This window comes from Homo sapiens, chromosome 12 (assembly GCF_000001405.40).
Source record: "Homo sapiens chromosome 12, GRCh38.p14 Primary Assembly".
NCBI classification, from domain to species: domain Eukaryota; kingdom Metazoa; phylum Chordata; class Mammalia; order Primates; family Hominidae; genus Homo; species Homo sapiens.
Window position 1 is genome coordinate 57,290,176 of NC_000012.12, and position 23,022 is coordinate 57,313,197.

The following is a 23,022-nucleotide window of genomic DNA, read 5'->3' on the forward strand; positions in this document are numbered from 1 at the left end:
CCCTATTATAAATTGTCTGTGCTTTCAGAACATCTGTAGCTTTGCTAATGGCTATCATAGTGGGGCAGTCATTTTCCAGGTGTAAGTGAAGCAGAGGAACACATCACAGATAGTCAGCTAGGTTACGATGTCACTGGTACTTCTTAATCTAAAGAGCCCAGAGCAGAGCAAGCTATTGGGAGGTGGTTTACATTAGGGGGTTAAGAGCATAGACTCTGGAGCCAGGCTGAATTCAAATACTTAGCTCTTTTGCTAACTAGCAGTGTGAACTTAGGTGGCTGTTTAATCTTTATGAGCCTTAGTTCCTCTTTTATAAAATGGGGAAAATAATATAAACTACTTCATAGGCCTAGTATGAGGACTGAGTTCATCTATATCAAGTACTAAGAACAATGCCTAAAAGATAGTAAGTGCTATATAAGTGCTTGCTACTTTTTTTTATTTTTTTATTTTTTGAGATGGAGTTTTCCTCTTGTTGCCCAGGCTGGAGTGCAATGGCACGATCTTGGCTCACCACAACCTCTGCCTCCTGGGTTCAAGTGATTTCCTGCCTCAGCCCCCTGAGTAGCTGGGATTACAGGCATGTGCCACCATGCCTGGCTAATTTTGTATTTTTAGTAGAGACGGGGTTTCTCCATGATGGTCAGGTTGGTCTCGAACTCCCGAGCTCAGGTGATCCACCTGCCTCGGCCTCCCAGAGTGCTGGGATTACAGTCGTGACCCACAGTGCCCAACCAGTACTTGCTGCTATTAACCACCAACCTGTTCCGTACACAACTTAGGGGGTTATCACTGGCCACAGCCATGTACAAATGACATCTCTCCTCTCATTCCATCCAACTGGTTTGTAGGTAAAGGTAGAAAACCCTCTTTGGGCTATGGTTGAATAATTTGGAAGATGGACTTTTCTGACTCAGAATGGAAGTCTACATAATAGGAGGTAAGAAGATTCCTTCTTGGACTTTGGGCCAGAAAGTTTGCTGTATATCAGTTCCCAGTGAGGATCTCTGAGACAATGGCGCAAGTACATACAGTTGTTCAGTTTTTTAGTTGGAGACAGTATTTTTCTAAACTAATGATGATGATGAAAAAATATATATATATATATTCTCCCCCCTTGGTGAGAAAGGGGAGAATGGGGGAATGGGAGGAAAGTAGTGTTCATCTAAGTATATTGATTAAAACTGACCATCTTTTGCCAGGCACAGTGGGTCATGCCTATGATCCCAGCACTTTAGGAGGCTGTGGCGGAAGGATCACTTGAGCACAGGAGTTTGAGACCAGTCTGGGCAACATAGTGAGACCCCATCTCTACAAAAAATAAAAAAGTTAGCCAGGCGTGGTAATGCGTGCCTGTAATCCCAGCTACTCGGGAGGCTGAGGCAAGAGGATCGTTTGAGCCCAGGAAGTTGAAGCTGCAGTGAGCTGTGACTGTGCCATTGCACTGCAGCCTGGGTGACAAAGCGAAACCCTATCTAAAAAAAAAAAAACAAAAAAAAACAAAATAAAAAACAAAGAAAACCCTGACCATCTTTTGACAATGAAGGGAGACTGGCTTTCCCTCTTTTGTTACTCATGTGATTGTGAGATGGTGCTCATATCTGGATACTACATTTTCTGGAGATTTGTTTCCCTCTTGTACACCCACAACCTTTCCTGAATTTCTGCTATTCTTCTCTTCAATCTGGTAGGCAAAGGCAACCAGATACAGGGGTACCAAGTATATTTGATATAGTCCACACATTTAAGAGTAACATTGCCTAAACTGATTCATGTTGGCTTTTAGCCCTAGGAGCTAGTCCTGTTGTAGGAAGCAAGGTAAGAAATATAGGAAGAAAGAGACTTCCTTTTCAGGTAGAGACTGGAGAGAACAGTGGTACTCTCTGTGCATGTAGAATGTGGAGCTCATAGAGGATGGATGCCAGACCTGTGCTCTAACAATCACCAACATATCCTAAAAATGAGGCTGGTCAAACAAGATGAATGTACAGCCTGTGTGAACACTATGTCTTCCACTTAGAAGCAAAGATGCCTAAAATGGATAGAGGGAGTGAAAGAGGGTAAGCAGAAGGAGGGTTTTAGAGGCAAGATTCAGACCCTGCCAAAACCATTTCTATTTTCAGTCTAGGCAAATTTACCAAATTCAGCCACTCCAAGTTATAGTTCTCTTTGAATACCATATGGCAGAATGTATTGAAAACAATATAAGTGAAAATCTGCAGCTTCCCAATAAGCCACATTTAGTTTTAGAGATCAAATCTAGGGTTGGCTGATGTTGGTTAAAATAAAACAAACAAACAAACCCAAAAACATTTGTGGAGGGTTCATTCCATTCACAGTTCCAATGATTAAGAGCTAAAAGCTATGGGCTGACAACTCTCAGATGCTACACTTACCTCTCGGGCAAATATTCTCTCTCGGACCCTTTGATATTCCTCCTCTCTCTCTTCTATTGACTTGCTCCTCCTTCCATCCTGCAATGGAACTCTGATCTAGATCGATGAGCAGAATTAAGCTAGTTAAGTTCTCCTCGTACTGCAAGCTCACTGCACACCAGCAAGGAAGAGAAACCGGGAAAGTTTATAGTTGCCATCAAAAAAATGGAAAAAAAAAAGAATAAAATTTCCAGTCCTGGAGAAGTTTCACTGGGTACATCTGACCATGCAGTTTGGGAGATCAGGTTTTCTGGATGGCTGGGGACTCTCCAAATCCCCACCCCTCCCACCCCCGCAGTATCAAGAATAACAACTATTTATAAGGACTGGGTTGCTTCCCTCTAGTAATCAGGTAGCCTCCAGTCAGTAAGGATCGAGAAAATAGCCCTGGGAAAAGGAACAACACTGCTTTAGAGGGAAAGCAAAGGACAGAGGGAAGCTGGAACGGGAGAAGAAACAGGTGTTTAGCAGAGCTGAACAGTAGAGGAGGAGGTTTATAGAACTAGCACCTGGCATTATTCCTTATTTAGTCACTAATGCCATGGCCTGAAGACCCAAATCACACACAGCTCAGCAAAGAGGGCCTTGGAAATGAAATCCCAAGGGCGAAGCTAAACTCAAAGCCTAAGCATTTTTTTCCTGAACTTAACTATATTAACTGGAGGTGGGGAAGGGGAGAGACAAATTACAGAAATAAAGAAGAAAGAGAACAGAGCAATACAAAGAGAAAGAAAAGGAGAACAGATAGAAAGAGGGGCAGAGAAAGGAAGAGAAGTAAGGTACAGTGGAGGAAGGGGAGAGACAGAGAGATAGACAAGGAAAATAAGAAAATAGAGGATAGAGAAGAACCTTACATTCTCTAGAAAATGTAGTGAGGTAACCAGACGGGATGGCTGGGGAGATCACCACCTCTGAGTAGCCTACCATCTAAATCCTCATCATGATCTTTCCTCTCCTGGCCTGTAATTGGTGAACACTGTCCAGGGTAGGGTGTAATAGAGTGTCCTTATCCATCCTGCTCTTGAAGGCAAGGAGTTCTAAGGGAGAAAACTCATCAAATGAATATCACCAGATTATAAAAGATTCTGACTTCCAACCCAGAGGCTTTGAAAGCTTCACATGAAGCAACTAAGGAGATTGCTGCTCTAGGCTGGTCTTCCTGATCTTTACCAATCTCCAAAGGTAACCATAACTTCAAGAATATCAACCTTGCCTAGATTTAGTTCTCATTAGCTTCAAGAACCTAAATCCTACCAAATGTCCTCTTATAAATTCCATTCCAAGAAGACACAGGGCCTCAAGGAGCTATATTGTCCTCAGCCCCTAGGTAAATCAATGGCAAAGTAGAAAGAACATAATGGGCTTTGAGGTCAGGCAGAATCTCAGCTCTGCCACCTCCCAGTAATATAACTTTAGACAAGTAACTTAACATTTCTTAGCCTCAGTTTTCTTATATGTAAAGTGGGGATAATAACCCCCATCCTCATTGGGTTGTGAAGAGGATTAAAGGAAATAATGCATACAAATGTGTTTAGAACACAGCCTAGTTCAGGGAAAACACTCAATAAGATAGCAATTATTATGCTTGTTATTAACGTCACAGACAGAAAGTACACAGAAACAACCCTATTGGATCAAGCCTGAAGCTGAGAGATGAAAAGTTCACAATAGGGACAGACTCCACTTTGCCCCAATGTGCCTCTAGGCCTGAATAATTCCTGATCCACAGAAAAAGGGTTTGGGAAAATGGAGAAGGGCATCAGGATGGAAAGGCTCTTTCTCGTTTTTTAAATTTTGTCTTTTTGTATGTTTCTTTGTTTTCAATCAGTCCCAGTGTGTTTGTCCACAATAGATAATGGCACTTTTCTCAAAAGGACTCCCTCAAATACTCAAGCAGCAAGCAGGAAAGGTCCTGGTCTCAAGACCATACAATATCCCAAGAAAACTAATTTTGACACTAGAGGTAAGATATTATTATAGTTATTAATTAGCAAGATTAATGTAGGCTCTACTCAACCACGCTCTTCAAATCGAATCCCTTTTGGAGGCCAAGCAGAGGCAGGCTGGATCTAAATCTTCTTCTTAGCTAACCCGCAAATAATCACTTACTATCTAAAGGGTAGGCTTCAGGTCAAAGCAATAGCCAGGCCCATTTAAAGGGATGGGATAGGCTGTTCCCTTCTTATTCCCACAGCAGTGGATCACAAAGGGGATCTATCTGAGGTTCCCAGCATCAAATGTCAAATTAACTCACTCACCTTGGTGGAAGGAGTTGGAAAAAGATTAAGGAGTTTGCAGAAAGGGATCAGAAACACCTTTATAATTGGGTAAATTAGATCACAACTTTGCCAGTTCAAGGCTAGCCCTAAGCTAGGATAAGAGTTGAAGTGGGACAAAGTAGCTTTTTGTGGTTCCCAAAGAAATCCCTAACTATTAAAGGAAAAAAAAGAATGAAACCAACAGTTGGATCAAGGCTGAGGCAGGGATCAACCTTGCTTTATTCCAAATGATGTGGTGTTAGAAGTCAGTGGCAGACCCAAGGAGTTCCAGGCCAAATGAGATCACCTAGCAAACCTCAGCACCATGTCTCTCTAGGGCTAAGAGGGTGGCATCCAGTTCAACAAATAAACAGTTCTCAACATTAAGCCAAAGCCAACTCCGTATAGCTCAATACATTTCTCCGTACTAAGATATTTTGAGTTTTCTCCATCCCACAAAAATTCTTCTCCCTTCCCAGTTTCTCTTACTGCAAACTCTCTATATAGGCCCACCCCTTTCCATTCTTCACCTGGTTATCATCTCGGTCCATACTGGCATCATCTCTCTTGAGAATGAACCTCTGTTGAAATTCTGTATTCTTCTCATCCTTTATATGTTCTGAGAACCTCTGTTCAGGGCTGAGATTTGGAGAGAAATGTGAAAGGAAAGGAGGACAAAGACCGTTTTGTTAGGAAGCAGACCTATTAGGTACAGCTCTCCTAAATTACACAACTCACACTCAGGGAATTTCTGGAGTAAGGAATCCAAAAAGTCACATGCAGGTTTTAATGAAATCTTCAGGGTCTGTACTTTATACATCTATAACTTCTCTTCCTCCATAGTTATATCTGTCCTATCAGTGAAGTGAAGAGAGGCTAGGGCCAGACTTCATGAAACATCAGTCTCTCTAGAATCTATCTCCAAGGCTCAGAAAGAGTAGGAATTAATTATATAACCAACCCCAACCCCAATCCCCTTCCCTGCAAAATACTTAAAAAAATTTTTTTTGTTTGTTTTTTGAGATGGAGTCTCACTGTATTGCCCAAGCTGGAGTGCATGGCGTGATCTTGGCTCACTCCAACCTCTGCCACTGGGGTTCAAGTGATTCTCCTGCCTCAGCCTCCCGAGTAGCTGGGATTACAGGCGCCTGCCACCGCGCCCGGCTAATTTTTGTATTTTTAGTAGAGACGGGGTTTCACCATCTTGGCCAAGCGGGTCTTGAACTCCTGACCTTATGATCCACCCGCCTCGGCCTCCCAAAGTGCTGGGATTACAGGCGTCAGCCACTGCGCCCGGCCATTTTTAAACTTTTTTTTTTTTTTTAAAGTAATAGAGATGGGATCTTGCTGTGTTGACCAGGCTGGTCTCGAACTCCTGGCTTCAAGCAGTCTTCCCATCTTGGCCTCCCAAAGTGCTGGGATTACAGGTGTGAGCCACCACGCCTGGCCATCTGCAAGAGACATCCTGATCCTACACCTTCCTCTTCCAACCCAGCAGGTTATCCCAGGGAAGTCTTCCCAAACCATGGTTTCCTCCCTTACATTCTTGTGTTACTAGTTTTGTTGATGATGACAGCTTTCCCAGTTTGATCAACATTGTGGTCCATCCCAAAATAGGCAGCTACCCGGTGTAATAGCATCCGGTGATATGAGGTCATCTGAGGGAACTTCTTGAACTGATTACTGAAGGGAAACCCGGGGAAAAAAAGTGAAATAAGACAAACAACTGCAATAACAACCAATTTTAATTTTTCTTACAAGTGTCTAAAGTGGAAAGTTTCTTAGGAGAAATAGACATATTATAAGGAATATAGATATTTACTAAATGGGAACCAAATAGGTTTTTCTCAGTTTCTTTATCTACAGTATTCTGCAGATTACTATGACCTACTTTCCTCATTAAGACTACTCATTGCTGGGTGCAGTGGCTCATGCCCGTAATCCCAGCACTTTGGGAGGCCAAGGCAGGCGGATCAATTGAGTTCAGGAGTTCAAGACCAGCCTGGTCAACATGGTGAAACCCCGTCTCTACAAAAAATACAAAAATTAGCTAGGCATGTGCCTGTCATCCCAGCTACTCAATGGCTGAGGCACAAGAATCACTTGAACCCAGGAGGCAGAATTGCAGTGAGTCAAGACTGTACCACGGCGCTCCAGCCTAGGCGACAAAGAAAGACTGTCTCAAAAAAAAGACTACTTATTAAGCCCTAGGTCCCACCCACCTGGATGATGTTTGACAAAGAAAAAGGAAGACATTTAAGAACAGTAAAATCTGGGACAAGTGCAAGCTGCTGAAAAGATATAAATTATTTTTCAACTCAAATCTACATAATAACTTAAAAACTTCAGTATGTTTTCAAAAATCACACTTCAAGGGGAACATCTCCTAAAATTGTACCTAAATTTATTTCCAGTGCCCCCTCCCACCTCTAATTATATATTTCATGCAAGTAACTTACTTGTTGTCATTAATAAATTCCAGAATCTCCTGTTCTAATTTTAGCAGCATCATTCTGTCCCTGTTTAAAAAAGATTAAAACAAAACAAAACAAAACAAAAAGCAGCCCTCCCATAGACATTGAAAGTGGGGATTGAAAACACAACTTGCTCATTACAGAAGCTGAAAAAGGTATATATCCAAACCCAGTAATGAACCATAATGCTGCTAAGCCTCACTTGCCTGTTTTACAATATTTTTAAAAAGAAAAACAACCCGAGTATACATTTTGCAGGTCCTCCAATCATATACTTTGTTATACCATATCAGAAATCTCACTGTTAACAACATATTCATATAAACACACGTTATAAATCTAATCGTCATTCTGTATTCCATCTTGTTATAAACAATTTTAAAGGAATTATAATTTAGCTTATGTACAAATCAATTATTTTTTCCTTCTGTGCTTTTTATTTTAGCTCTTCTTACTATCACTCCCAATGTGTGCTTTTTAATCAGTATACTCCCAAGACTTCATATTTCTTTGTTTCTGCATTCTTCTTTCACAGAAGTTTTCCCAATTCTTCTGAAAACAGAAACCTCAATGTGAGAGTATTTTGAATCCCTCACAGAATATAAAACTATACCTGACAAATACTAGGGGGACAGGAAGATGAGCATCCTAGATTCTAAGAATGGAAAAATTCTGGGAAGCCGTTTGGCCTCTTGGAATCTTGCTATCCCCTAACCCCTTTTCCTCTTATACCCATCATGTTATTACCTTGGGTTCTTTTTCAGTGTATTTACAAGAAATTCATGTAGGTCTATTCCAGTGGAGTCCGTATATTCCTGGCTGGAGTCTAGAACCACCACAACAAAAGAAATTAAAATACATGAAACTGCTTTGCATGCTATCTAATCCTAAGCAGAAGTCCACAACCTAACCAGGAGAAAAAAGAATAGGAAAGCAAAATCAAACTTCCAGGGTTTTAACATAAAATCCAGAATGACCTTGATGTGCTAGATCCCAAAATTCCTCATCAGAATGACAGAAGAAAGAATCTGGGCCATAGTATTACATCAATATTACACTGAAAAGCCATCTATCATCAATAGGTATTTACTGAATGTCCTGATCAAAATATAGCAGGTTTTATTAAGGAAAATAAATTCCAGGTAAGGGCAGTCAGGGCTGAATTTTCCAGAATCTCAGTAAATATGCCCAAATATTATTTTTTAATCCTGTTTGCCTTTTCTTATCAATTATCATTTTTATGGACTATGTCTTTTTGCTACCAGTACAAGAGTTTAAAGGCAAAGATAGTCTAATAATTAGAGGCAAATCTGCATTATTAAAAAAAAAAAAAACCAGGCCAGGCGCAGTGGCTCACATCTGTAATCCCAGCACTTTGGGAGGTTGAGGTGGGTAGATCACCTGAGGTTAGAAGTTCAAGACCAGCCTGGCCAACATAGTAAAACTAAACACCTCTACAAAAATACAAAAATTAGCCAGGTGTGGTGGCATGTGCCTGTAGTCCCAGCTACTCAGGTGGCTGAGGCAAGAAAATCGCTTGAACTCGGGAGGCGAAGGTTGCAGTGAGCCAAGATCGTGCCACTGCACTCCAGCCTGGGCGACAGAGGGAGACTCTGTCTCAAAAAAATAAAAATAAAAATAAAAATAAATAAATAAATATCACCCTAGCCATCCCCAAACCAAAATATAAATGGCATCTGGAGGATTTGCTACCCAATGATTATCAATGTTACCATTATTCCAGAGCACAAGTAAAATCAGAATTGACTACATTGTCCTCCTATGGATAATGCCAATGCAGATGGAGTAGCTGTCTGTGGCATGTGAGCTCCTAAGGCAGGTTCAGTTAAAGAAGCAAAGAAAGTAACCTCGTTAGGCATCTCCTCAAGCAACCAAGTTAGCAGAACACTACAAATTGATGGGCCAGTAAGGCTGGCAGGTGCCAGGCTTCAGGATAAAAGTAAAGGGCACTGCCCTAGAACAGATGAGAGATGGGAAAAACTCCTTACCTCTGGACAGCATCTTCCTTGGGATCTTTTCTTTGTTTTTGTCCTTGTCTTCCTTTTCAGAGACATCTTTTGTGGACTTTTCTTCCTCCTTGTCAGAAGGGCAACTGATGTGCAATTGAATTATATCCTTAAGGGGAAAAAGGATAATCAAAGGGGGAAAAAGATTTTAACTTTCTTGCAGCTCCCTTGGAATCTCAAAGAAGGTAAATCTTGGGGTGGCAGCTCTCTCTTATAGATTAGTGTTATTTTGCTAATTAAACTGTTTTAGTTTTCTTCTATCAAGAGGGTAGAGGCACAGCTTTTTCTGCCAGCAAGCACAACCTACTTTATGGAGAGCTCAAATTACACAGGCCGTTCTTGGCACAGGTATTGAATGGGAATGGTTCTAACCACCAGAGGGGGAGGGTACACATAAGAAAATAAGATCTAGCCCTGGGATCTTCTTGTCTGCATCATCCTAGGTGGTCAAGATATGAAGACCTATACTTCATGCTCTCACTATGCTGGGGTTTTTTTCTTTTTTAGGGTCCCCCTCCTCCCTGGTGCAGGTCTGTCAGCACTGCCACTGCCACTGGAACCCACAGCTGGGAGGAGAGACCATGCCCTGTTTTACTACAACAGCTTTTGTTCTGAAGTACCTTCTACCCTGATTTTCAAGTCTGATGTTGCTGTGACTGCCATACTACATCTTACCAAACAACTGCCAAGCGCAAAAGCTACACTTACTCCTGCAAATGACCTACCTGGGTTTCTAATGGCCCATCAGCAAATGGGGTGGAGGACTCCTCACACACTGCCAGGCTACGCACCAACTTTAGCTTGGAATTAGACTGAAAAAAACAAAAAACAATTTTCAATTTTTTTAATGTATCTTATATATTTCTTCCCTCGGTGAACATTCAGAAAGCTTTTGGCTGAATGAAAAGTGTCCTCTTTGGCTCTGTTAGTTGCTGTTTCCATTAAACAGGGGTTTTTTTCAAACGGGTCCTACTCACCAGTTCCTGATTCACTTGAAAGATACTTCTCTTGCTTACAACAGTAGACATGTACAAACTGGCTACATGGACAGATGATAGGAAACCATTTCACTCAGCCCTCTTCTCTCTTCAACCCCATACTCTAATTTCAGTCTCAGAACTTTATGCAAACACACAGCAACATAGCATAGTAGAAAGACAATGGGGCTGAGAGCCAAAAGTCCTAGCTTCAACTCCTGGTTTTGTACTTACAAGCTATGAGACCCTGAGCAAATTACCTGACCTCTCCAGGTCTCTGTTTTTCCTCAGGAAAATGGCGATAAATACCTAAAATTACCTAAAAACCTGTTGTGAGAATTAGATAATATACAGTATGTAAATATACATATCATTAAATAGTGCTTAGCATACAGTAGACAATAAATGCTAAATGACTCCAAACCTGAGATGCCAAGGGTTTGGAAAGAAGTGTCTAAGAAAAGAGTAAGAGAAAGGCCAAGCATGGTGGCTCACACCTGTAAACCTGGCATTTTGGGAAGCTGAGGTAGGAAGATCACTTGAGGCCAGGAGGTCACAGTCTGGGCAACATAGTGAGACCCTATCTCTGCAAAAAAATTTTTTAAAAATTAGCTGGCCATGGTAGCACATGACTGTGGTCCCAGCTACTTGGGAGGCTGAGGCGGGAGAATTGCTTGAGCCTGGGAGGTTGAGGCTGCAGTGAGCTGTGATCATGCCACTGTACTCCAACCTGGGCAACAGAGTGAGACCCTATCTCAAAAAACCAAAAAACAAAAAATAAAAAAAAATAAAAAAAAGAGAGACAGATAAAACTTTATTAACACTTGGGATTTAATGCAATAAAACCTAATCTGCCCGCTTTACTTCTGCTAGCTGGTGAATCCCAAAAATATCAGAAATCCACTATGCAAATCATTTCCCTCCTAGGGACCCACCCAAAGCTAAAAACTATAGGGTGACTCATTAGAAATCTACCTATAAACATTTACTGAGACTCAATACAATAAAACCAAGGATTACAGTAAATACCAAAGTACAAAACATGACAGGTATGCTCTAAGTAGTGCAGTATAGCAGAAAGAACTTGCGAGCCTGAAGAATTAACATCATGCCTAATTCTGTCACTTGCTACTGAATGTTAAGCTACTGCTACTGATTTGTTAAGCCACTCAATCCCTATAGCCTAAGTTTCCTCATCTGTAAGATGGAGATAATAGCTGTCTTACTTATCCCAAAAAATTTGAGAGGAACTAAAGTAGCAGTAAGTAACCTTTGTTTTGAACTTTAACATCAAGCCCGTCACTATGGATCAGGCCATGTAAGGCAAGCCACAGAGCCAATTTATCATAGTTCTTGGCCTTCTTCAAACTCAAGCCACATAGTGGCTGAGCCACTCTCCAAATTCTATCATTATTTTTTTGGAGGAACAGGGTGGCCAACCTTAATTATTACTTTTGGTGGCAATTCTTCCCAATGCAAGAAAAATTTAATACTTTACTGCTTCCCAGCTAAATTAAAAACCTATCACACACTAACACATGTAGTCTTCCCTGATAACTCTGCTTAAAATAATCTGTGATGTGCTAAGTTTATCATATAATGATTAAAAGCAAAATCCTCTTCCTGCCCCCTAAAAAGTAAAGCATTAGGTTAGCTGAGTGCGGTGGCTCATGCCTGTAAACCCGGCACTTTGGGAGGCCAAGACAGGTGGATCGCTTGAGCCCAGGAGTTCGAGAACAGCCTGCGTGACATGGCAAAATCCCACCTCTACTAAAAACACAAAAATTAGCCTGGCCTAGTGGTGTGTGCCTGTAAGCCCAGCTGCTTGGGAGGCTAAGGCATGAGAATCACTTGAACACGGAAGGCAGAGGTTGCAGTGAGCCGAGATCACACCACTGCACTCCGGCTACAGAGTAAGACTCCATCTCAAAAAGAAAAGAAAAGAAAAGAAAAATGGCCAGGCATGGTGGCTCATGCCTGTAATCCTAGCACTTTGTGGGGCTGAGACGGGTGGATCACCTAAGGTCAAGAGTTCGAAGCCGGGCACGGTGGCTCATGCCTGTAATGCCAGTACTTTGGGAGACCGAGGTGGGCAGATCACTTGAGGTCAGGAGTTCGAGACCAGCCTGACCAACATGGTGAAACCTCATCTCTCCTAAAATTACAAAAATTAGCCAGGCATGGTGGCGGGCGCCTGTAATCCCAGCTACTTGGGAGGCTGAGGCAGGAGAAATGCTTGAATCCAGAAGACGGAGGTTGCAGCGAGCCAGGATTGCACCATCGCACTAAAGCCTGGGCAAGAGAGCAAAAAATTCCGTCTCAAAAAAAAAAAAAAAAAAAGTAAAACATTAGGGGGAAAAAAAAGCCTGTATTTTTAGGATATCCAGAAATGTTGAGTCATTTTTCTTAGTGGGGCAGGATTTATCATAAAGAAAACTCACAAGGAAAAAAAAAAAAAAAGAAGGGGGAATAAAAAGACTCATATAAGCAGCCATTCTCCTAGAGAAGCTAGGAGTGAGCAGAGAAACTGGTATTTCAGCACAACTAGTATCCAGTTCTTTCAGGCTCTGTGGAAGGCTCCAGCTGGGTAGCCTTTCAGGCATCAAATGTGTATACACCTATGTACGCCTACACAGTTTCCATTAGAGGTATGTATGTGTATGTGTACATGTGTGTATGCACACTTACGCAGGTTCACAATTGGGGTACAGAGTACAGGCAAGAAAACTCTGCCTACATAATTTGAACAAACTAGATATTCATGACAAGTCTACTTGTGAAATGTATTACTAATAACATTAGAAAAGAAGCTAGAGGAAGGGCTCTCACCTTGGCTCTTTTCCTGGCATGACCATGGTTAGATGTCCGCCTCTGTTAGAAGGGAATTGGAAAATATTAAAGGTGGAAGAAAATCGACATGTAAGTTAAAAACAATACATGTTTATAAAGAAAAAGCACTAACTGTAAAAACCATTACAACAGCCAAACTATGATGAGGACCACTTGATGTGGGTTTCTCCCTACAACCTACAACTCTAACAACTGTGACAGGAAAGGGACTACAGGCCAATACAGTCAAATCACCATTCACCATTAAGTTAGAGAATCAGAAGATGGTCAGATGTGGTGGCTCATGCCTGTAATCCCAGCACTTTGGGAGGCCGAGGCAGGCGGATCCCTTGAGCTCAGGAGTTTGAGACCAGCCTGGGCAACAAGGCGAAATCCCATCTCTACAAAAAAAAAAACAAAACCAAAAAGACAAAGAAAAAGAAAAAGAAAAAAAAAATTAGCCATGTGTGGTGGCATGCACCTGTAGTCTCAGGTATCTGGGAGGCTGAGGTGGGAGGATGGCTTGAGCCTGGGAAGAGGAGGTTGCAGTGAGCCGAGATCACGCTACTGCACTCCAGCCTGGGTGATAAGAGCCAGACCCTGTTTCAAAAACCAAACAACAAAAACCATTAAAAAGAAAAAAAAAGAGTTGGAAGACACTGATTTTGTTGGCCTATTTCACAGACTGATAAAAGTTACTTTTGGACAAACCATGGTATCCTGTCTTATTTAGGATGCTTCTGCAAATGTCACTACCACAGCATGAAAGAGTGTTTTTTTCCCCCAATCCTGTTCACAGAAGCCTATTTAATCAATAATGGATATGAAATATGGCCCCTAACCATCACTTATAATATCTTTATAGGACAATACACACATTCATAGTTCCAACTTGAGATACCCAAAATATCTGTTCCTATAGCTGCAGAAATGGAATGAAGAGTCTTCTTCCCAAATGCCTCCCTCCCTGAGTTATCAGGATACAAAGAAAGGAGCATAAAATATAGGGATAAGACCTCCAGAGCAAGGGGAAGAGAGTGGATAAGGGTCAGGATAGAAACCGAGGAAGATAAAGAATGAAGGCGTAAGGTGGGATGACGGAAAGAACAGCCAATTAATAAGATTTGTAAACATCTGAGAAGTCAAAATGGGGGCTTCTGGGAAGAGGTTGGGTAGGGTTATATATGGGGATGAGGCACTTAGGAGTTCTGAGATGTTTGGAATGGAACTCCAATGGGGCGTAGAGGGAACTGAGGCAGGAGGATAGGGGAGGGGAAACAAGTCAGAGACAGAGTACCAGCATGGCCTTGGGTAGGTGAGGATTTCTCTTTTCTTGGTCTTCTTCACTAGTTAGCAAATAACACGGCCACAATGCAAAATGGAGAACTGGGAAGGTGGATGGAAAGAATAAGAAATGATGGTGGATCTGCTCAGTGGTAAGATCTGTTGCAGTAAGGGAAGATTCATAGTCCAGAAATATGAAGCAGTATTTGTCACTACTTTTTCAAACAGGCAATACATACAACATGGCACAAAGATTCAAAAGGCATAATGGGGATATATATAGAACAGTAAGTCTCCTTTCATAATTGTCCCCCAGATACTTGGTTCTCTCCTAAATGGTCAACCAGTATTAAAGTTCTTTTGGATATATCCAGGTATCTTTTAGGCATATATAAGCTTAGTGTATGTGTATACAAAGGTTTTTTTAAAAAACCAAATATATTGGCTGGGGGCGGTGGCTCATGCCTGTAATCCCAGCACTTTGGGAGGCCAAGGTGGGCAATCACCTGAAGTCAGGAGTTCAAGGCCAGCCTGGCCAACATGGCAAAACCCTGTCTCTACTAAAAAATACCAAAATTAGCCAGGCGTGGTGGTGGGCACCTGTAATCCCAGCTACTAGGGAGGCTGAGGCAGGAGAATTGCTTGAACTTGGGAGGTGGAGGTTGCAGTGAGCTGAGATTGCGCCACTGCACTCCAGCCTGAGCAACAGAGCAAGGCTCCGTTTCAAAAAAAATAAAAATAAAAATAAACATATTATACATACTACTGTGAACCTTGTTTTTAAACTTTTTTTCATGAGTATCATTCTATAGAAGATCTACCCCATTTTTAATGGCTACATAGTATTCCACTGTGTAGCTATACCATAACTTATTTTACGAGTCTCTAATGTTTCACCATTTAGGATGTTTCTGACCTTTTGTTAGTATAAATAATGACCATATCATTGAATATATATAAATATAGTATATCTGTAGTCCATTTAAAAGTTTTTTATAAAGTATTCCTAAATTGCCCCTCAAAGTGGTTGTACCAATTTAGACTCTTACCAACAATATATGAATGAATCTGCTTATTTCCCAGAATGGATAGTTTTAACAGCCAAACATATATTAAAAGCCTAATATACACCATGTTATCATGCTAGCTACTGGAGGATATGGAGATAAAAGGCACAAACCTTGTCAAAAAGGAACTCATAATCCTGTTGGAGAAGACAGACAGACAATTACAATACAGTACATTAAGTGTACTAGAGAGGTACTCATGGAGTGCTACAGGAGCACACAGCAGAAGCGTCTGACTCAGACCTAGCAACCCATAGATTCATACATTTACAGATATTGAGTGCCTGCTATGTGCAAGGCACTGTGTTGGCCTTAGAGATAAAATGGTGAGCCAAAATTGACCTAATCCTGGACCTCGTAGTACTTATAGTTCTGTAAGGATGACAGACATTGATCAAAGAATTATACTATATAGACCTGCAAATAGGTGAATAAGGTTTTCAAAGGCTTCCTAGAGAAAGACATCATCTGGATTGAGTTTTGAAGGATAAATAGGCTTTAGACAGATGTTGGTAGGGGTAGGAGTTGGAGGAGGTCAGGATAAGAATATTAAGGTGGGCATTCCAGGCAGAGAAAGCATGTACAAAAGCATGCTTTCCCCAAATTTTCAGCTCCTATTTATAACAGGGACCAAGGAATCAGATAATGCTGATGCATTGGATGTCAGAGGTGATGGCTGACAGGCAAGAGACTAGGTCACAATATAACATGCTGAGAAATATTGGACTTGGCTTAAAGCAGTAAGACACACAGAATGTTTGAAGAGAGTTAACACAGGCAGTTCTTTATTTCACAACCACCTTTCTAAAACAATATGGTACATTTATCAAAAAGGATTACAAGTTTAAAGGCAGAAAGCCCAACTAAGAGGTCTTACCAAGTTGGCTATTTTTTTTTTTTTGAGATGGAGTCTCGCTCTGTTGCCAGGCTGGAGTGCAGTGGTGTGATCTCGGCTCACTGCAACCTCCGCCTCCTGGGTTCAAGCGATTCTCCTGCCTCAGCCTCCTGGGTAGCTGGGACTACAGGCATGCGTCACCACACCCAGCTAATTTTTTTGTATTTTTAGTAGAGATGGGATTTCACCATGTTGGCCAGGATGGGCTCAATCTCTTGATCTCATGACCACTCACCTTGGCCTCCCAAAGTGCTGAGATTACAGGCGTGAGCCACCGCGCCTGGCCTCCAAGTTGGCTAAAGGACATTCTTGGCTGGGCGGGGCGGCTCACGCCTGTAATCCCAGCACTTTGGGAGGCTGAGGCAGATGGATCACCTGAGGTCAGGATATTGAGACTAGCCTGGCCAACATGGTGAAACCCTGCCTCTACTAAAAATACAAAAATTAGCCAGGCATGGTGGCACGCATCTGTAGTCCCAGCTACTTGGGAGGCTGAGGCAGGAGAATCACTTGAACCTGGCAGGCAGAGGTTGCAGTGAGCCAAGATTGCGCCACTGCGCTCCAGCCTGGGTGACAGAGCGAGACTCCATTTCAAAACAAAAAAAAAGGACACACCTAAATTCAGTATGTGTTGAGGACTTGCCCATTCTAAACAGAATCTCAGAACCTGCATTTTCTAGCATTGTTTCCATGCAAAAGATGTTCTGAGTTTCACTTGCTGATCCCAAGGACATATCTCACACATTATATGTAATGAACGTCCCTTTTCCCCAAACTTTTCAGCTCCAATTCATAACAGGGACTTTTTTGAAAGGACCACTTAGATTCTTGGGGAGACTTCTAGGGTATAAAACCAGGGAAGGCTGGAGAAGCAGAAATGCTGGGTTTTTTTGTTGTTGTTTTGTTTTGTTTTTTGAGACGGGGTCTCACTCTGTCACCCAGGCTGGAGTGCAGTGGTGCGATTTTGGGCCACTGCAACCTCTGCCTCCCAGGGGTTCAAGTGATTCTCCTGCCTCAGCTTCCCGAGTAGCTGGGATTACAAGCATGCGCCACCAGGCCCAGCTAATTTTTGTATTTTTAGTAGAGATGGGGTTTCGCCATGTTGGCCAGGCTGGTCTCGAACTCCTGACCTCAAGTGATCCACCCGCCTGGGCCTCCCAAAGTGCTGGGATTATAGGCATGAGCCACTGCACCCAGCCATGCTCTTTTTTTTTTTTTTTTTTGAGACAGGGTCTCACTCTGTCACCCAGGCTGGAGTGCAGTGGTACAATCTTGACTCACTGCAACCTCTGCCTCCCGGGTTCAAGCATTCTCCTGCTTTAGCCTCCCAAGTAGCTGGGATTACAGGGACACGCCACATGCCCAGCTCAGAAGCAGAATTTTTAGTGCTGATGAAGGGGTAAATGGTATGTTGGGAAATGCATAGAGAGTAGAGTGCTTCTTAAGGTACTGCTCCATAGGATCCAGGGAGGCTGACAAGACTGAATACTTTGCAAAAGGAACAAGAGCTCCAGTAGATGGCAGCAGCAGCTCCACCTGCTCTACCAGCAGCAAAAGGAGTCAAGTCAGAGAGGAGGCAGGTCCCCTTCCAAACCCCGAGACATTGTATTTGTATTTCCAGGTGAATTTTTTTTTTTTTTTTTGAGTTGGAGTCTTGGAGTCTCGCTCTGTCACCCAGGCTGGAGTGCAGTGGGGTGATCTTGGCTCACTGCAACCTCTGCCTCCTGGGTTCAAGCAATTCTCCTGCCTCAGCCTCCCAAGTAGCTGGGACTACAGGCACATGCCACCATGCCCAGCTAATTTTTTGTATTTTTAGTGGAGCCAGGGTTTCACCATGTTGGCCAGGCCGATCTTGAACTCCCGACCTCAAGTGATCTGCTCACCTTGGCCTCCCAAAGTGCTGGGATTATAGGCATGAGCCACTGCGCCCGGCCTGAAGACATTTTTAAACTAAGCAAGTGTCCATAAAGCATATAAAACCTATAGATGGGGCCAGGTGCTGCCTGCAATCCCAACACTTAGGGAGGCCAAGGCGGGCAGATCACCTGAGGTCAGGAGTTCAAGACCAGCCTGGCCAACATGGTGAAACCCCGCCTCTACTAAAAATACAAAAAATTAGCCGGGTGTCGTGGCGGGCGCCTGTAATCCCAACTACTCGGGAGGCTGAGGCAGGAGAATCGCTTGAACCCGGGAGGCGGAGGTTGCAGTGGGCCAAGATTGTGCCATCGCACTCCAGCTTGTGCAACAAGAGTGAAACTCAGCCTCAAAAAATAAAAAAAAACTATAGATGTCCCTTCTTTTCTGCCTAGCTTCAAGAAGTACACAAAACAGGAATTCAGAACACCATTTATAATTATCTCCTAAGAATAGAATAACTTAGACCCAAAAGGTCATTTAATTATTATCTTTCATGTAACATGACAGCACATAATGAAACATTCATCACTTATCTGTCCTGAATATTTAAAATTCATTATTTGTATCAGTGGAGGCTGGAAGTACAGCTGGAACAGTGGCAGATTGTCTCCACAAGCTCTGGAAGAATGGGCAGGGAATGACAACTAACATGTAATAATGGAAAGAAAAACAGCCAGGGCAGAGACTGGTGAATTGTAAGACGAAAAACAGTAGAAAAGCAGGCAGCTAGAGAACAAAATATCTCAGAGAGCTGTCTAATTTTAATTCATTCCTTTATATTATTGCTGTTTTAATCTTTAAAGAAGACAAACCTTATGTGAATTGAATTGTCTAGAAAAATTATGCTTCAAGTTTCCAGACCCTCTAAAATGTTGTTGTTCCGGTGTTTTAATCTAACTTCTTGCTAGTGTTAATTGTCTGTCTCTTGACTTATAATAAAACCAGTTTTCACCCCTGGGCATGAAGGAAAGGATTTGTTGGGCTTGGGTAACAGAAGAAACCAGCAGTGACCACAGAATAAGGGCTCTAACAGGTAGATGAGAGGAGGCTCAGAGTTTGGGCTGGCCAGGCAGAAACCAAAGAAGAACCCCACAAGGAAGTTTGGCTAACTATCTACTACCATCATTTCTGTACTACAGTACGAATTTGGATGAAAAACATGGCAAACAAAGAGTGAAATTCCTTTTACTCACATTTACCAAGTGGCAAGTTCAGAGGCTATTTCTGACCCAGAAAAATGCTGACTGCTTTAACACAACCAGGATATGAATTTAACACTGTGTGTAAAGCCAGGAAGCTCAAGTTTTAAGAGTTTATTATATGAGTCATTTTATGACTTATTAAATATGCGTTTGTGTACAGTTTATTTTTTGGTAATAAAAAAAGTCAAAATGCAGCAAGAACCAGTGAACTCAGGCCCAAATAGATTAGGGATTTTACTCTGTCCTTTTTAGACTTCATTGTGGACTATATGACAAAAAGGGAAGATTTCTTTTGAGAGTTGAAGCTGGAGTTTTTAAAGAGAATCAAGTGTTTCTAAAAGTGACTGATTCTTACACATCTCCACTTTTATTCAGGTATAAAGAATGTTGGCCGGGCACAGTGGCTCACACCTATAATCCCAGCATTTTGAGAGGCAAAGACAGGAGAATCATTTGAGGCCAGGAGTTTGAGACCAGCCTGGGCAACATAGACCCTGTCTCTACAAAAAAATTTTTTTATATTAGCTGGATGTGGTTGCACATGCCTGTAGTCCCAGCTACTTGGGAGGCTGACGTGGGAGGATCTCTTGATGCAGGAGTTTGAGGGTGCAGTGGGCCCTAATTGTGCCACTGCACTCCAGGTTGGGTAACAGACAGAGCTGGGTAACCCTGTCTCTAAAGGAAAAAAAAAAAGTGTGCATACAATGCATTTCCAATCGTTACCTGTGTCTCCTGACGCAAACTGGTATCTTCACATTCTTTCTCAATTTCTTCCTTACTTGGAGTCTTAGATATAAACTTGTTTTTGTTTACAGATTCTTCCACCAGTTTTTTTTCTGATTCTTTCATTATTTCCAGGGTCTCTTGAGTAGTGTTACTGTTAGACATGTTCTTCAATAGAATACAGTGGCCTCTATGGACTCCTAAAGAAACATCAAATGCATTAAGCAGGAGGTATGTATCCATACTTAACAAATACACAAGACTCGTATTTCACACGGGTACATTTTTTCCAGCAGCCTTCCTTTAACCCAGAAAAGAGTTATTTAATAAATGCTGTCCCTGGGTTCATTTCTTTAAAAAAAAAAAACTTTATTGAGGTAAAATTGACATAAACTGCATGTATTTAAAATGTATAATTTTATATTATGACACATGCATTCACCTGTGAAACCATCACCCCAATCAAAACAGTGAGCGCATTCACCATGCCCCAAAGGTTCCTCATGTCCCTTTGTAATCTCTTCCTCCCTTCACACTAACCCCAGCCAACTACTGATCTGTTCTGTCACTACAGATTAGTCTGTATTTTCTAGAATTTTATATAAATGGAATCAATCATACACTGTCTGGACTCTTTTACTCAGCATAATTATTTTGAGATTCACCAGGATTCAGTTCTAAAGTAGCATGAGCCCTCTTGACACTTTATTTTCTCCCCTTGTTCCCTACAGAAATTTGCGCACATTTCTGGCTCAATCACTTCACCCATTAGATCCTCTCCAGAAAGAAGAAAATTATAAAGCTCCATTGACTACTAGAAAGGAGTATGCTCCTTTCCCAAGGAAGAACTTTCACAGCTACCACAAACCCACAACACTGTTAACCAACTTCAAGCTACTCTCCCTTCAAAAAGAAGTAAAATCAGACAAAGCTTAAATGGTTATAGAATCTATAAAATCTTATATATATATATATATTTTGAGATGGAGTCTCGCTCTGTCACCCAGGCTGGAGTGCAGTGACATGATCTCGGCTCACTGTAAGCTCTGCCTCCTGGGTTCACATCATTCTCCTGCCTCAGCCTCCTGAGTAGCTGGGACTACAGGTGCCCGCCACCACGCTCAGCTAATTTTTTCTATTTTTTAGTACAGACAGGGTTTCACTGTGTTAGCCAGGATGGTCTTGATCTCCTGATCTCGTGATCCGCCCGCCTCAGCCTCCCAAAGTGCTGGGATTACAGTCGTGAGCCACCACGCCCAGCCTGCCCGGCTAATTTTTAAGATTTTTTTTGTAGAGATGGAGTCTTGGTATATTGCCCAAACTGGTCTTGAACTCCTGGACTTAAGTGATCCTCCCACCTCAGCCTCCCAAAGTGTTGGGATTAGAGGTGTGAGCCATCGCACCCAGCCTTAAATTCTTTCCTTTATCTTAAGCAAGCTGAAAAAACAAGAAGAGAACTTTGTAGACATCTGTCCTTCAGAAAGATTGGGTCCCTCCCTGGAGGAGGAATCTTTACTTTGCTATACACTATTTGGGTTCAGTCAATCTACTGTCTCCCAGTGATGGAGTATCTATACTGCAGGGATGGCTGCTTCTTTATCACTTACTATCACTACCTGGGAAATCCTGTAATGAAGCCTACACAGTTCTCCAACCACAAACTAAGAATCAGAAGTTGATACTCTACACACAGATTCATGTCCTCAATTGCCGAAGTCAAACATGTTTAGCTACAACAATAGTTTGCAGAGGTTTCTCCTTATACAGGTTACTGACTGTACTTCAACCCTGAAGACTTCTTTCCCTCCTTTACTGGAAACTCTCCCAGATGTCACATCTATTCCCAGTGTAGCCCTAGAAATGGAATTAAATAAACAGACAAATGGATAGCAATGCTTCAAGAAAATTGTCACAACAGATATTTTCCTCTCCTTCAAATCAGTTTAAAGGGTAAGAAGGGTAAGACCCAGAAGTCTTTCAAGAAGCAAAGTTAGCCTCATCCTGACATAAGTTAGATGGTCTGCCAGGCTACTGCTTTGTGATTTTTTTTTTTTTTTTTTTTGAGACAGGATCTCACTCTGTCACCCAGGCTGGAGTGCAGTGATGCGATCATAGCTCACTGCAGCCTCAAACTCCTGCGTTCAGGGAGTGGTGGCATGTGCCTGTAGTTCTAGCTACTCAGAAGGCTGTGGTTAGAGTACTGTTTTGTTCACCTTGTGGTGGCTCTTCAGCAGCTGCCTGGAGACTTGGTTTACTTAGGGCTAGATAAATTATCTTTAGAGGGCCAGAGAGTCATTCACACAATTGCAAAGTCATATAGTTGACGGCCAGGCACAGTGGCTCATACCTGCAATCCCAACACTTTGGGAAGCCGAGGTGGGCAGATCACTTGAGGTCAGGAGTTCGAGACCAGCCTGACCAATATGGTGAAACAATGTCTCTACTAAAAATACAAAAATTAGCCTGACGTGGTGGTAAGCCATTGCATCCAGCCTTAAATTCTTTCCTTTATCTTAAGCAAGCTGGCTCAATTGCGCTCAATTGCCTCCCAGCTGCTTGGGAGACTGAGGCAGGAGAATCACTTGAACCTCGGAGGCAGAAGTTGCGGTGAGCCAAGGTCGCACCACTGCACTCCAGCCTGGGTGACAGAGCAAGACTCTGGCTCAAAAAAAAAAAAAAAAAAAAAAAGTCATATAGTTGAATTTAAAGATGAGAAATATTAGAAGAAACTAGCTACAAATATTGAAAGAAACTGACTACAAACTTCCATTTTAAAATTATCTGATTCAGTAACTAAAGGCTACTATAAAAACAGTTATAACCTATAGACCTTCATGGATCATTTGCTATACATGGGACTTTGTTTATGTATGTAGTATGTATGTATGTATTACCCACCCCCACAATGGGTAAATCAAGCCTCAGTTCTCTTCA

The 23,022-nt window shown here is 42.1% G+C and overlaps 1 protein-coding gene across 53 annotated transcripts in view, besides 1 other annotated feature; it reads right to left on the reverse strand.

Moving 5' to 3' along the window:
* The window catches only part of R3HDM2 (R3H domain containing 2), a 177,378-nt gene that overhangs the window by 36,412 nt on the left and 117,944 nt on the right, over nt 1–23,022 (reverse strand). For 14 of the 53 annotated variants that reach the window (XM_047428527.1, XM_047428519.1, XM_047428514.1 and 11 more), the window contains 10 exons: nt 20,089–20,288; nt 15,465–15,488; nt 13,001–13,042; nt 9,920–10,006; nt 9,177–9,303; nt 7,915–7,993; nt 7,153–7,212; nt 6,236–6,376; nt 5,224–5,332; nt 2,397–2,492 (listed from right to left, as the gene is read on the reverse strand). In XM_047428527.1, the coding sequence (XP_047284483.1) occupies nt 2,397–2,492; nt 5,224–5,332; nt 6,236–6,376; nt 7,153–7,212; nt 7,915–7,993; nt 9,177–9,303; nt 9,920–10,006; nt 13,001–13,042; nt 15,465–15,488; nt 20,089–20,253 (930 nt within the window). In that variant the 5' untranslated portion in view covers nt 20,254–20,288. Of the gene's footprint in view, nt 1–2,396; nt 2,493–5,223; nt 5,333–6,235; nt 6,377–7,152; nt 7,213–7,914; nt 7,994–9,176; nt 9,304–9,919; nt 10,007–13,000; nt 13,043–14,297; nt 14,692–15,464; nt 15,489–20,088; nt 20,289–23,022 lie in introns of those variants that run through there. The other 39 variants (XM_047428528.1, XM_047428529.1, XM_047428517.1 and 36 more) reach the window with 10 other exon arrangements.
* Nucleotides 17,591–17,885: an enhancer, noted in NCBI's record as "tiled region #11351; K562 Activating DNase unmatched - State 12:CtcfO". NCBI's record gives its function as "activates a minimal TATA promoter and a strong SV40 promoter by Sharpr-MPRA in K562 cells {active_cell/tissue: K562}" and the evidence as "EXISTENCE:reporter gene assay evidence [ECO:0000049][PMID:27701403]".